General features: G+C 37.7%; 1 protein-coding gene across 4 annotated transcripts in view, besides 1 other annotated feature; it reads right to left on the bottom strand.

The window, feature by feature from the left end:
- Nucleotides 1-15,844, bottom strand: part of TMTC2 (transmembrane O-mannosyltransferase targeting cadherins 2) — a 447,961-nt gene that overhangs the window by 49,237 nt on the left and 382,880 nt on the right. The window lies entirely within an intron of this gene.
- Nucleotides 10,388-11,587: an enhancer, noted in NCBI's record as "MED14-independent group 3 enhancer chr12:83467822-83469021 (GRCh37/hg19 assembly coordinates)". NCBI's record gives its function as "activates an origin of replication core promoter dependent on BRD2, BRD4, P300/CBP and CDK7 cofactors, and independent of MED14, by STARR-seq in HCT116 cells {active_cell/tissue: HCT116}" and the evidence as "EXISTENCE:reporter gene assay evidence [ECO:0000049][PMID:35650434]".

The following is a 15,844-nucleotide window of genomic DNA, read 5'->3' as shown; positions in this document are numbered from 1 at the left end:
TGAGCTCAGATGGTTAATTCTCAAATGTCAATATTTTTCTGTGGGTACTATTTTTCATGGCACTTTATTTTTGATAGCACAGAGGGCAATGTTTTCAAGGCAAAAGAAATATTACTCTCCATACAAGTGAATATACACCACTATTTCCCCATTTTATAAGCTGGGTTTCAAAAACAAATGAAATCCGAAAGAAAAATCTTGGATGTAAAATGGTTTGTAGCATGATGAAAACTGTCTCTGACTGCAATTAAAAAACTATGCCCGTTCTCTCTGGGACAAATAAAAAGGCTATGAGAAAAAGGTAAGTCAGATAAAGGGTAATGCTTGGTAAGTCTTATCTGTCACGGGAAGTCAGAACAAACATTGATTTCATCAACACCTTTTCTCAGAGGCATAGTTAGCAAAATGTAACCAAACTCCTTGATATTTCCCCCCTTATTTTAAAATTCTTCAGCCAAAGGGACTCACAGAACAAACAGCAAATAGAAATTGCAGAGAGGATTAAAATAGAGAGCTCTTCGCCCATGATGGAGAGGGTTCAATGACCCCATTAAAGATAAAAATCACAACCAACCCCTACATAAGAGGTGCAGTCAACACTCTGGACCTTGCTTTACTTACCCAATAGATCCACGACTAGGCTAGCTGCACTGACAGCACAAGTTCTGGAAAAAATACTCTCCCCAGAAAGCATGCAGGCTTAGCCAATTTGTTATTCACATCTTTAAAATTATTCCTCCACCATAGTCAGATTTCTAAAAGTGCAGGGTATTTCTCTTAGTCTTATGGTTGACACAAAATCACTGATTTATAGAGTTGTGCCTTGTCCTGTTAGGTGCTAGGCACACTGTCCCCCTTCAGTGTAGGTGCCTTGCCAGTAATATTTGTCATTTCCTCCTCCACTGGTGTTTTCCTCTTATTTTGGCTCCAAATATCAAGTAGGTCATCCACAGACAATAGCACAGGAAAACATGTTTTGAATTTTAGTCTTTTTTCCTCTTCTTATAAAATTGACTAATGATAGGAAAACTTTCTGGCTCATTATTCGTATCCTAAAATTTTTCACATACCTTTGTTTTCAGCATTGAAATGTTTCCATCATCATTATTATCTTTTTTTAAAAGAAATCTTATATAGGGCAAATCACCTGTTGAGTGAGACAGATGTCATTTTGGGGTTTTCTTTGAAAACGACTGGCAAGTTTTTAATAAAAACTGAGGGAAATAAAAAGCTTCTACCTTTATTATGTAAGTTATGTTTTTAAAAGTAATATAATAGGGGGGATAAAAAATATGTATGCCATTAGGCCAAGCAAAGTTAAAGGGTTATACAGCTTTTCTATATTATATGTGCATTCTATTTAGCATTAAAAACTCTATAATAGCTGTCCCAAAGATTTGTATCCATGTATTCCATTACATGTGTTGTTACTTCTACTATGGGCTGTGTTTCAGAATCTGAATTTATAAACACTTAACAGGAGCTCAAACTATCTGAGTGATTCTGAATTTCAGGAGTATGAATTCATTCAAAATTAAATAGAGCTCCTAGTTCACTGTGACCACCATCTCCTCATACTCACACAGAGAGATGGGGAGAACCAAAAGACCCAGAGGATACGTGTCGGGGGTAAAAAGAGAAGATTTCTAGGTTCTCCATTCAGCAAGAGTTAAAAGTCGACATTATCTTTGAAAGTCTCTTAAAAATCACTTGAATTTCCCCTTGAAATAAACCTTGAAGTACAGCCTCTCAATGTGCTCTTGGCAGTCAGTTTTGTTGTGTTTTGATTTTATTTCCAACACTGTAAAAGACTGCTGTCTTGTGCTGAGCATCCCATGTTGTGGTTGGCTTGCATTTAGAGCCCTAGTTTTATTGAGGGGAGTGGAGGATGTAATTTTAACATGTTTAAAATGTTAGAACCACACTCAGTGCTGCAAGATGTCCACCCTACGAAAGCACAAGAAGTTGGCACAGAGAGGACAACAGCTTCATACAAATTCCTTCACAATATTGACTGAGAATCTTTAGGCACCAGTCTACGCGCTCGGGAAAGCAAGGTGAGAAGAACCAAGTACCTGCCATCACAGAATTCATGTTCTAGAGAGGGGAGGCAGATAACACAAATATGTAAAGAAATACACAGACCGTAGATGGGAATAAGCACCAGGGAGAAAAAGTACAGCAGAAAAAGAGAGGGAGTGCTGGGGATGCAAAGTCTCAATGATAGGAGATGCTATTTGAGCAGGTATTTAAGTTACTGCCCGAGCAAGCCACATTGTTTCTTGGAGAAAAAGCATGGCAATTTTAGAAAAAGCAAGTATAAATGCCCTAAGGAAGAAGTATGTTTGAACCAGAGACAGATAATGCCAATCTGCTCATTGTCTATGTAGCTTGGCAGGCGGAACTGACTTCTTTAAAATTCATTCTGTTTGAATAATATACAGACAAATTCCTGTAATGTAAATAATTAAGCACTTCACTTCCTATGGGCCAGGCAGCATTCTAAATGCTTTCTATGGGTTACCCATTCCCGTAAAAAGCCCTCTGAGTTAATTATCATATTACCACCTCCTTTTACAGAGTGGATGAATGAAATCTAGGAATGTTATGCAGCAGGCAGAAGATCCCAGACCCAGAAGTAGATGAAGCCCCGTTTACTGTTTAACCCTTTTGATTCCAGAGCCTAAACTGCTAAGCGGTATTGCCTACCAGGACATGTGAATATGACATAATTCCACTGGAAGTTCACTGTATAAAATGCTCTTCCAAATAGGGACGTCACTGAGGCATGCTATTTATAGCAACACCAAGTAAACAGACAAATCCTATGTGCTCCACATGTCTCTATAAATTTAGGAAGGCAAAACCCAAAAACCCAGTTTCTTTGTGAAGTGTTATGCTGGGAGTGAACAGCTTTTTTATATGCTGCCATATCATGAACAGAATACAGCACATACTTATTTAATAAATTTGATGCTGTTATTGTACACAGAATACATTTCATGATTAAGATTTATACTTTTGAGATATAGCATACACAGGCTAACCTATGGCTATTACTGAAAATATAGTATTAAATAAAAACTTGATATATACCTGAAAGCACAGTCTATATTGTCAAGGATAGTATAACTCTCTGCACGAGTACTTTATCAAAACATTTAGTTCAAAATGGGCTTTAAGGACTTGCACTTTGATTGTCAAACTTTAGGGACGGTGTGTATCATAATGTTTTGTATGGATTAATCCCATGGTCCTTCCTTAAGGGACTCTGACTTGTCTAAGAACATCACAAATACCCATCTGGCAGAATTCTGGTTCTTCTCAGAGCCTAGCATGTGTTAGCACACTTTAAATGATACAGCACACATGTTTGGGGAGGTAACACATTTGCATTAAAGCAGAGCTGAAAATTCAAATGATGTTTTAAAAAGAATTGAGTCATATGACATCTTCAAGCTATAGTTTCTACTACATAAACATCATCATATTCAGCAGCTTCAATGTAGATGAAAGAAATACTACAATCGAACAAATTAATATTAAGGGCTAAAAGTAAATATTATAAATTCTGAATTACCCAGTAAAAGCTTTTTGTTATAATACTCTAATAATAAAATTTCATTAAAGCCATTTAAATTTTTTTTAGAGATAGGGTCTCACTCTGTTGCCCAGGATGGAGTACAGTGGTGTGATCATAGTTCACTGTACCCTCTAACTACATCACCACACCTGGCTATTTTTTTTATTTTTTGTAACAACAGGGTCTTGTTACATTGCCCAGGATGGTCTCGAACCCTTGGACCCCAGTGATGCTCCTGCCTCGGCCTCCCAAAGTGCTAGGATTATAGGCATGAGCCACTGCGCCCAGCCCAATTTAGCATATTTCTAAGTAGATTATTTTTTTCCTTCTCAGGAAATTTTCTTAAAGGTGAATGTATGTTGCTTTATCTATATGTAGGGGAATTTTAGATTCCTGTGTATTTAAACATTTTGTACCAGATTTGAAATCACAAAATCTGTACTATATGAACTTTTTCTCAAACATCTCTCTAGATTTATCAAAATAAACATATATAGTAGAAATAAAATCTGATGTGATGCATCCAGATCATTCTCCCATCTCTCATTTTATTTGGTAATAAAAAGGATTCCCAAACAAACGGCCAGGCAAGTGAGTGAGAATCTGTTATTGAAAGTATCTGGCTTCCAAATCGTAAGCCAACATTTCACTACATCATTTAGCTTGCTTCAGTTTTGCTGAGGGCTTGTTAAAGAAAAGGAAATAAATTATTTTTATAAAAATGTGACAAGCATATTTAGCATAATAATGAGTCAGGCCAGAGCAAAGTAATCACATGTTACATGCAATAAGAAATAATAATTTTACTCTTTGGTATGTTTCTTGAAGTTCCTAAATAGTCTTTGAAGATACAACATGAGAAGGTGACTGAGTTCTTGCATTTTCAGACATTGTTGCATAAGCTGTTGAAGATGCAAACTTTACAGACTTATAATCTTGATAAAATACTCATAAAAATGATGTAACAATTAAAGGCTAAGACTTTTGGTCATGATATAAGCCCATTTACTGTCTCTGAGAGGATAGGGACCACAACACCACTATTTCTCATTATATCCACAGGGCTTGTTTTAGCAACTGACATATATTTGACACTCTGCTTGTGTGGCTTTAAAGTCTGTGTCATTTCACTTTTCCAGTGTTGTTTCTCCAACTGGAATCCATAGACCATGTGGTGGGGGATGGGTTATAGGCATATATTCAAGGGTCTGTGAATTAACCTCAAGAATTTGTCAGTTTTGAAGAACAGCACTTCTCCACTCTAATGATTAATGATTAGATACTCTGGACAATTTGGATCACTATATTTTAGACAAGAACTGTCCAGTGATCTCAGTGCCCTGGGTTTTATTTATAATGGTGATTGTACTTTTGGTAGGTAATGTTACACATGAAGTAGGGAGTTTAGACACAGGTTCAAAAACCCGGCTGCCTGGGGTTTGCATTCTGTTTCTGCCACTAGCTGTGGCAAACTGCATTACCTGTTTCTCCATCTATAAAAACTGGGGAGACTTTTAATGTTTAATCGGTGCAGATGCTGTTAGGCTGACACTTCATAATTTTTTAAATTACAATTTTATGGTATCCAACATTATCGTGTTTATTCTACAAATTACAGATATAAAAATCTTAGCTAATCATTCATTACACACACACACACAGAGAGAGAGAGAGAGAGAGAAAGGTGAATCTGTAGTAGTGGTTTAAATACACATTATCAGTTTTGACCCTCTCAAGACTATGATTCCCATTTAAGTGAACATTTGTTTATATATCACTGTGTAAAAAAGATTCCTAACTTTTAAACATGGAGATACAGTTTATACAAATTCAAGTGTAATCATAATAGGTTTAAAGTAATGATGTGGTACTATAGTGCTGAGGGTATAATCCATCATCTGTTCTTCATTAAAGTTCACCAGCTGGAGAAAACTGTTGGGAGTTACTGTGTCAATCAGTATACTGGAAAATAAAATGATAATGTTGTACTATGCAATGAAGGGAAAACTAAGCACACGCACATGTTTCTAGTAAAGTTTTCCAAGGCTAATTAAAGTACAGAATCTTCCTTTGGTAGCAAAATAATTCCATCCTCAAGGCCTAAGGAATCTATTTCTCTCAATTTTAGCCTAAAGAACTATATAAAAAATTATGCAGAATGTACAGAATGGTAACTCAATATAGGTAAGAAATTATAAATTCTAAATAATCTCTTTTCTGTTAAGAAAGCAAATAAATTAAGATATATGTCCATGTATTTTGGATTTGTTGTTTAGGTAGAGTGACCTACAGAAATGCATTTTAAAACCTTTTTGGTCTTTCAATATTTGTATGTTGACACTTTCCAAATAGTTTCTATAACTTCTGGTATTATTTTAAAAGTGTATCCAATCATGAGTGAGGAAGTATGAATGCCTATGATATATTTATTCGTTATTGCTGGTCTGTCTAATTTGCTGATAGTTTCATAGTGTACCCGTGGTTACAAGTAAAAGCAAACAGTTGTAGAAGGTAAAATCTATTATAACAAAAATACAATAAATGGTTTAACAATTTGGGAAATGATACTTGAACTCTGTTGAGAAAAAGGGAAAGCAGCCATTGGTTCCTGGAATTATAGTGGAAAATGCACTATCTATTTAAAAGAAATAATTTGTCTCACAAAAACTAAATTCTTATATTGGGAGAATTATTAGGTTTGTTTTAGTGAGTTTTATTAGAATCCTTATGCTATAAACAACAAGTGAAAATTATAAATATAATCAAGAAATAAACTGCAGTATGAGTGTAGGTTCCATAGGGGAAGATCTACTATCTCTTACATGATTAAACACTTAAGTAGATAATGATAAATCAACTTGGACTGATGAATAAGAAAAAAAAATAACTGATAGAAGTAGCAGTAATGTTCTAAATGTATCCATCCTAGAACTTGTTGAGACCTGTTCTCATCTCTTCCTGTGATCTAAGCAATTAATTTTTTGTAGTTATTAATTGTATTAGTAGCTTATACATATATATTTTGTAAATCATGCTAATGATTTTTTTTTCAAAATTGCTTCTCTCTTTAAAAGTCAGCATTCCTAAGCTGAACAATTTACTTTCCAAATAAAACTAATGTAGTGTAAAGGATCATTTCTAATTATTTCTTATTACAAGGTCTCTAATGTCACCATATTTGCCCTCCTTAGCCTGTTATTTACTCTTCAAAAAGGAAATGTAAATATGTTGTAAAGCAGCATCTCAGAGTCATTTCAGTATAGATCATTAAAGAAAGTGACAGAATAAAAGAGTGAAGATAAAAACCATATGAGAGCTGGTCAAACATAAATGTAAATATAAATTAAGAATACTTAAAACATAGAATTATATATAGTTAAGAAACTGAATTCTCTATAGTTTTACTTTTTGGTATCACCAAAAATGCAGGTTCACTATTACTTACAAAACTATGAATACTGCTCCACAGCAGATATTTGTTGGCATTTGGTATCTAAGAAAATAATAGCTGTTTATACGACAAAAACTGAAAAATTTTGCAGCACATATTTTTTCCCTCTTGATGATGTCAGTCTTCTCGGTTCTCTTCTCAGGCTTATCAAACATGATGTTATGGCAATATATTTAATCAAATCCTTCTCAAGGAATAAAGAGCAGCTGTTGATTCCCACATTTCCCAAGGAATAAGGAGCTTAACAGTATAACAACCCAGTCTAAGAAAATTAATGTCATCCAGGATGACAAAGTCTCTCTTTGACCAAACTTTAGACAGCCTCCTCTAAGCCTTTATACAGAGGACTAGGCCTCATCCTTGAGTCTTGTCATCAGCCTGGCTAGTTCAGTTGCCGCAAAAATTATGCTAAGTCAGTTTAGCAAGAATCCCCCCACCCTCGATATCTGATCACCTTTGTTTGTCTTATCAAATTTCTCATCCCCCACCTTTTGATATCCGATCACCTGGCCTACCTTCAGTGAGAGCCCTGCTAAGTCAGTTCAGCAAGAATTCTCCTACCCTTGATGTTGTCCCTTAGAAATTTTCCATTCACTGATCTCACTCACTGTGCTAGTTAGGTATTGTGGGGGGGAGGAAAAATATATTTTCCTTCCACCCATCTTAGGTTCTTTGGCTGAGGCCCCTGTTAAAAAAAAAAAAAAAAAAAAAAAAAGACAGATTGTCTGGGCATGGTGGCTCACACCTGTAATCCCAGCATTTTGGGAGGCCGAAGTAGGTGGATCACGAGGTAAAGAGATCAAGATCATCCTGGCCAATGTGGTGAAACCCTGTCTCTACTAAAAATACAAAAATTAGCTGGGCGTGGTGGCGTGTGCCGGTAGTCCCAGCTGCTTGGGAGGCTGAGGCAGGAGAATCGCTTGAACTCGGGAGGCAGAGGATGCAGTGAGCTGAGATGGCACCACTGCACTCCAGCCTAGGCAACAGAGTGAGACTCTGTTTCAAAAAATAAAATAAAAAAAAAGACACATTAACAAGGTAAAAAAAAATTAGGTAATAATTCATAACACACATAAGAATTTAACATAAGTTTTACATAATATGACAGCCTTCATATAGAATTGAAGACATCCTTATAAACCTGAGTGTGTTTTATGGTAGGTTTGATGAAAATTAGAAAGTTGTAGAGAAATACGATAGGACAAAGGGATATGAGCTAAGTGTAAGACACTAGGGGAGAACCGGGCAAGGTCTGTTTGTTCGGGTTCCTCTTGGTTTCACTTCACCTTTGGAGATAAGAAAGTGCCTATCCTCCAGGCATAGCACGGGCACCACTCCCATGAGTGTCTTATGGCTGCCGCAGTGGAAGTTCAGACAGTCCTTCCTGCACATGCCATTTCTCAAATTCCTTCAGCTTAAACAACGTCAATATGCCAAGATACCATATTTGGGGTAGCATTTTCTGAACTCTTTCACTATAAATTCCCAGCTGTCTTTGCTATAGAGTTGAGCCTAATCTCTCTCCCCTATCACAATAGTCTTGACCCCTCTCATAACAGTCTTTAATAAAATCTCCTTTCCATTTAAAAAGTCTTAGAATATTTCTTCTTTAACAAGGACATGGAACTTTCAATAGAAATTAATCTATCAATCTATTAATTTTCATGATGTGCCTAATGTTTATTTGTCTTTAGGATAAGGTATAATATGATTTATCTGTAAATATAGATTGGAGTTCAGATAGTTAATAAGGGGTTAGGAGTACAGGAAAGGTAAAGAAGCAGAAAAAGAGGGTGTTACAGGGAGAATTAGAAGCAGGAGGGAGAGAACAAAGACTTAGACATGTAAGCAACTTTAGTTTAATGTTTCAGTGTATATTTAGAAAAGCATAAATACCTGTAAAATAATAGAAACGGAGGAAGCTGGCTATGGGAACAACCAAGGAGAATTATAAGAAATGTGGTGACCGGCGATGGGGGAAGGGCATAGCCCTCTGAAGTTGACAGCCACTAGTCACCCAAACTGATACTCCCAGGTAGGAATGTGGGTCAGTGTGGTTACATCAGCTGTAATTTCAAAGAAGTCAGGAATCTGGTTTCTTTGGAGTAGAGACTAACTGTAATTTTAGTGTGTGGTCCCAGTTTGAACAATTATAGCTATAACTCCATGCAAAAGATACCCCCACAAAGAAATGTGAGTAAAAAGAAATATGTTGGAATCAGAGAACATAATTAAGTGAAATTTCCCAAAGGTTTTGATGTTCCCCAAACTACAGTACTGAAGCTGATTTTCTTTATAGCCAAGAGCTACTTACGTTCCTGCTATGCCTCAACTCCCTTGATCTTTCTGGTTGTGAATCTAAAACACACATATATACAGAGAGTACACAAATATATATTGAAAAAATATTGTTTAAAAATGATTGCATGTAGATTGTGATGAATAACAATACCCCAAGCCTGGAAAAACTGTAAATTCAGTTTAGGTCAGTGCGACAATCTGACCCCAGTCTAGGCTGCAACTTGCCCACGCCAACAGTTAGTAAACAAGGGAGTTGTATTCACTATCCTTGTCTTCTAAGCATGGAAACTTACACAATTTGAGAAAGAGAAGAAAAGCAGTAAACACTTCAGAAATACATTTTTTTCTGATTTGTCAATCTGCAAAACAGAAGTACAACACAAAGCAATTAAAATGTCAGAAGAGAGAAGTCAATGCACCACAAGCTAGACTTGTAACCTGTCAGAAGAAAATAACTGCAGCATACTGCAGCATGAACATAATTTGGAAAAGACATCTAGAGTAGAAAGGAGTTTGAAGACAGATGTGGGCAGGATGGGACTAAAATTGATCCTGACTTAACTGAAGCTGTCAGGGAAATGAACATCTATCTTGCTGGAATTAGGTACTTAATTTCTACTGACATGGCAAAAAATATATGTAATAACAATGTGATGAAGCCTATCTATGAACTGAAGTAGAATATGTATTTGAGGAGCTAATTTGGGTAAGTGTGAATAAACCTAAGATCAAAGGTCTTGTTTCAATGATATCTGGTTGCAATTAATAAAAACAGATAAAACGTGGGGGAAAACTAATAACTTCTCTTGATTGAAACCTATTTTGGGGGGAGGGGTGTGTCTGTCAATTTACCTCACATCATTTGCTAACTATAAAATATACAGATGGACAAGAGATCATCATGGAGGATGGGAGGCAGGACTAGATTGCAGCTCCAGACAGAGCAGCTTGCGGAGGTTTGAGCTGTGAATTTTAGCTCCAGATCAACTCCAAGAACAATCCAGCAATCCTGAGAGGACCCACAGACCCTTTGAAGGAAGTGGACTGCTCCTGAAGGCCCTGGGAGACACCCCAAGTACTGTGAGTGCCCCAACTGTGGAAGTAGGAAAGGGAGACCCTCCTCTCCTGACACACACCCCCACTGGAGAAGCTGAAAGTCTGTTTGAGGGAGGAATTTCTGGCTTTACCTGGAACTGAGTCAATTTAGAGAGCTGAGTGAAATACAGGGGTAGAGGAAGCAGCAGAAAGGCCCTGGGAGCTCGCTCGGTCCCCAAGCAGGCCATTCCTGCCTGACACCACAGGGATCCATCAGGAGGGTGGCCAGAGGAGCAGGGGGTAAAACTCCACAGGGAGAAGGAAATCTCTAGCTGAACTTTGTAACTACCTGAATGGGGCATGAAGCCTCCCGGCCTGAACTTAGCGGGGAGCTTAGGGGAGAGCGCAAATCCAGTGTGCAGACTCCAAAGGCGGGGGAAGAACCAAACCTTTTCCTTCACAGCTGGGAGGTGGGTAGCCTGGGGCAAGTTTTCAAGACCTCACGCCCTCCACCTGGAAACAGACACAGACTCTGGGCTGTTTAGTGTGCATGGGTGGGTAGCTGGGGGGCACAATGGGAGTGAGACCAGCCCTTTGGTTTGTATGGGACCTGGGTGAGGCCTGTGACTGCTGGCTTTCCTCCAATTCCCTGACAACCACATGACTCAGCAAAGGCAGCCATGATCCTCCTAGGTACACAACTCCAGGGACCTGGGACTCTAACCCCATCCCCTAGAGCAGCTGCAGCAAGACCCACCCAAGGAGAGTCTGGGCTCAGACACGCCTAGCCCTGCCCCCACTTGATGGTCCCAGCAGGAGACCAACCAGCACAAAAAGAGTGCATTAAACCACCAAAGCTAAGAACCCTCAAAGAGTCCATTTCACCTCCACCAGAACAGGTGCTGGTATCCACGGCTGAGAGACCCACAGATGGTTCACATCATATGACGCTGTGCAGACAACCCCCAGTACCAGCACGGAGCCTGGTAGACTGCTGGGTGGCTAGATCCTGAAGAGAGACAACAATCACTGCAGTTTGGCTCCCAGGAAGCCACATCCATAGGAAAAGGGGGAGGAGTACTACATCAAGCGAACACCACGTGGTACAAAAGAATCTGAACAGCCTTCAGCTCTAGGCATTCCCTGTCACAGAGCATACCAAAATGAGAAGGAACCAAAAACCAACCCTGGTAATACGCCTAAACAAGGCTCTTAAACACCCCTCAAAAATCACACTAGTTCACTAGCAATGGATCCAAACCAAGAAGAAATCCTTGATTTACCTGAAAAAGAATCCAGGAGGTTAGTTATTAAGCCAATCAGGGAGGCACCAGAGAAAGACAAAGCACAATGCAAGGAAATCCAAAAACTGATATAAGAATTGAAAGGAGAAATATTCAAGGAAACAGAACAGCAGAAAGAAAAAACAATCAAAAACTCAGGAAATTATAGACATACTTTTAGAAATGAAAAATGCTCTGGAAATTCTCAGCAATAAAATTGAACAAGTAGAAGAAGGAAATTCAGAGCTCAAAGACAAGGTCTTCAAATTAACCCAATCAAAGACAAAGAAAAAGGAATAAAAATATATGAACAAAGGCTCCAAAAAGTCTGGGATTATGTTAAATGACCAAACTTAAGAATAATTGGTGTTCCTGAGGAAGAAGACAATTCTAAAAGCTTGGAAAACATATTTGGGGAAATAATCAAGGAAAACTTCCCTGGCCTTGCTAGAGACCTAGACATTCAAATACAAGAAACACAAAGAACACCTGGAAAATTCATTGCAAAAAGATTTTCACCTAGACACATTGTCATCAGGTTATCCAAAGTTAAGACAAAGGAAAGATTCTTAAGTGCTATGAGACAGAAGCACCAGGTAACCTATGAAGGAAAGCTTATCAGATTAACAGCAGATTTCTGAGCAGAAACCCTATAAGCTAGAAGGGCTTGGGGCCCTATCTTCAGCCTCCTCAAACAAAACAATTATCAGCCAAGAATTTTGTATCCAGCAAAACTAAGCATCATATGAAGGAAAGATAGTCTTTTTCAGACAAATGCTGAGAGAATACACATTACCAACCTACCACTACAAGAACTGCTAAAAGGAGCTCTAAATCTTGAAAAGAATCCTGGAAACACATCAAAACACAGGATCTATGAAACAAAAATACATGTTAAAAAGCAAAAACAAAAAAATAAAAAAAAAACCAAAGTACACAGGCAACAAAGAGCACTATGAATGCAATGGTACCTCACATTTCAACATTAACATAGAATGTAAATGACCTAAATGCTCTCCTTAAAAGAACCACAGAATGGATAAGAACTCACCAACCATCTGCTGCCTCAGGAGACTACTTAACATATAAGGACTCACATAAACTTAAAGCGGTGAAAAAAGGCATTTCATGAGAATGGGCAACAAAAAATGAGCAGGGGTAGCAATATTTATATCAGACAAAACAAATTTTAAAGCAACAGCAGTTAAAAGAGACAAAGAGGGACATTATATAATGGTAAAAGGCCTTGTCCACCAGGAAAATACCACAATCCTAAACATATACACACCTAACACTGGAGCTCCCAAATTTATAAAACAATTACTAATAGACTAAGAAATTAGACAATAACATAGTAATAGTGGGGGACTTCAATACTCCACTGACAGCACTAGACAGATCATCAAGACAGAAAGTCAACAAAGAAACCATGCATTTAAACTATACCTTGACACAAATGGACTTAACAGATATATACAGAACATTACATCCAACAACTGTAGAATACACATTCTATTCAACAGCTCATGGAACTTTCTCCAAAACAGACCATATGATAGGCCACAAAACGAGCCTCAATAAATTTAAGAAAATTGAAATTATATCAAGCACTCTCTCATACCATAGTGGAATAAAGCCGGAAATCAACTCCAAAAGGAACCTTCAGAACCATGCAAATATAGAAATTAAAAACTTGCTCCTGAATGAGCACTGGGTCAAAAACAAAATCAAGATGGAAATTTAAAAATTCTTTGAACTGAACGACAATAATGACAACCTATCAAAACCTCAGGGATACAGCAAAAGCAGCGCTAAGAGGAAAGTTCACAGCCCTAAGCGCCTACATCAAAGAGACTGAAAGAGCACAAATTGACAATCTAAGGTCACACCTCGAGGAATTAGAGAAACAAGAACAAACCAAATCCAAACCCAGCAGAAGAAAGGAAATTACCAAGATCAGAGCTGAACTAAATGAAATTGAAACAATAAAACAATAGAAAAGATAAATGAAACAGAATGCTGGTTCTTTGAAAAGATAAATACAATTGATAGACCTTTAGCAAGATTAACCAAGAAAAGAACAGAGAAAATCCAAATAACCTCACTAAGAAAACGAAACAGGAGCTATTACAACTGACACCACCGAAAATACAAGAGATCATACAAGGCTACTATGAACACCTTGACACATATAAATTAGAAAACCTAGAAGAGATGGATAAATTCCGGGAAAGATACAACCCTCCTAGCTTAAATCAGGAAGAATTAGATACCCTAAACAGACCAATAACAAGCAGCGAGATTAAAATGGTAATTAAAAAATTACCAAAAACAACAACAAAAATATCCAGGACCAGACAGATTCACAGCAGAATTCTACCAGACATTAAAAGAAGAATTGGTACCAATCCTTTTGAAACTATTCTACAAGTCAGGTAAAGAAGGAACCCTTATGAAGCCAGCATAACCCTAATACCAAAACCAGGAAAGGACATAACCAGAGAAGAAAACTACAGACCAGGCCAGGCACAGTGGCTCACGCCTGTAATCCCAGCACTTTGGGAGGCCAAGGCGGGTGGATCACGAGGTCAGGAGATTGAGACCATCCTGGCTAAAACAGTGAAACCCCGTCTCCACTAAAAAATACAAAAAAAATTAGCCGGGCATGGTAGCAGTTGCCTGTAGTCCCAGCTACTCAGGAGGCTGAGGCAGGAGAATGGCGTGAACCCAGGAGGTGGAGCTTGCAGTGAGCCGAGATAGCGCCACTGCACTCCAGTCTAGGCGACAGAGCGAGACTCCGTCTCAAAAAAAAAAACAAAAAAAAAAACAACTACAGACCAATATTCTTGATGACTATTGATATTAAAATCTTTAACAAAATACTAGCTAACTGAATCCAACAACATATAAAAAAGATAATCCACCATGATCGAGTGCATTTCATAGCAGGGATGCAGGAATGGTTTAACATACATAAGTCAATAAATGTAATACACCACATAAACAGAATTGAAAACAAAAATCACGTGATTATCTCAATAGATGCAGAAAAAGCATTCGACAAAATCCAGCATCACTTCATGATTAAAACTCTCAGCAAATCGGCATACAAGGGATGTACCCTGTGTAATAAAAGCCATCTATGACAAACCTACAGCCAACATAATACTGAATGGGGAAAAGTTGAAAGCATTCCCTCTGAGAACTGGAACAAGACAAGGATGCCCACTCTCACCACTACTCTTCAACACAGTACTGGAAGTCCTAGCCATAACAATCAGACAAGAGAAAGAAATAAGGGGCATCCAAATCGGTAAAGAGGAAGTCAAACTGTCACTGTTTACTGAGGATATAATCATTTACTTTGAAAACACTAAGGACTCCTCTGGAAAGCTCCTAGAACTAATAAAAGAATTCAGCAAAGTTTCTGGATATAAAATTAATGTACAAAAATTAGTAGCTCTTCTATACACCAACAGCAACCAAGCAAAGAATCAAATCAAGAACTCAACTCCTTTTACAATAGCTGCAAAAAAAAAAATAATAAAATACTTAGGAATACATCTAACCAAAGAGTTAAAAGACCTCTAAAGGAAAACTACAAAACACTGCTGAAAGAAATCACAGATGAAACAAACAAATGGAAACACATTCCATGCTCATGGATGGGTAGAATCAATATTGTGAAAATGACCATACTGCCAAAAGCAATCAAAAAATTAAATGCAATCCCCATCAAAATACCACCATCCTTCTTCACAGAATTAGAAATAAACAATTCTAAAATTCATAGGGAACCAAAAAAGAGCCTGCACAGCCAAAGCAAGACTAAGTAAAAAGAACAAACCTAGAGGCATTATACTACCTGATTTCAAACTATACTCTAAGGCCACAGACACCAAAACAGCCTGGTACTGGTATAAAGATAGGCACACACACCAATGGAACAGAATAGAGAACCCAGAAATAAACCCAAACACAGCCAATTGATCTTCGACAAAGCAAACAAAAACATAAAGTGGGGAAAGGACACCCTTTTCAACAAATGGTGCTGGGATAATTGGCTAGCCACATGTGGGAGAATGAAACTGGATCCTTATCTCTCACCTTACCCAAAAATCTACTCAAGATGGATTAAGGACTTAAACCTAAGACCTGAAACTATAAAAAATCCTAAAAGATAATATTGAA

This window comes from Homo sapiens, chromosome 12 (assembly GCF_000001405.40).
Source record: "Homo sapiens chromosome 12, GRCh38.p14 Primary Assembly".
Taxonomy (NCBI): Eukaryota; Metazoa; Chordata; class Mammalia; order Primates; family Hominidae; genus Homo; species Homo sapiens.
This window is presented reverse-complemented; position numbering and strand designations above follow the sequence as displayed.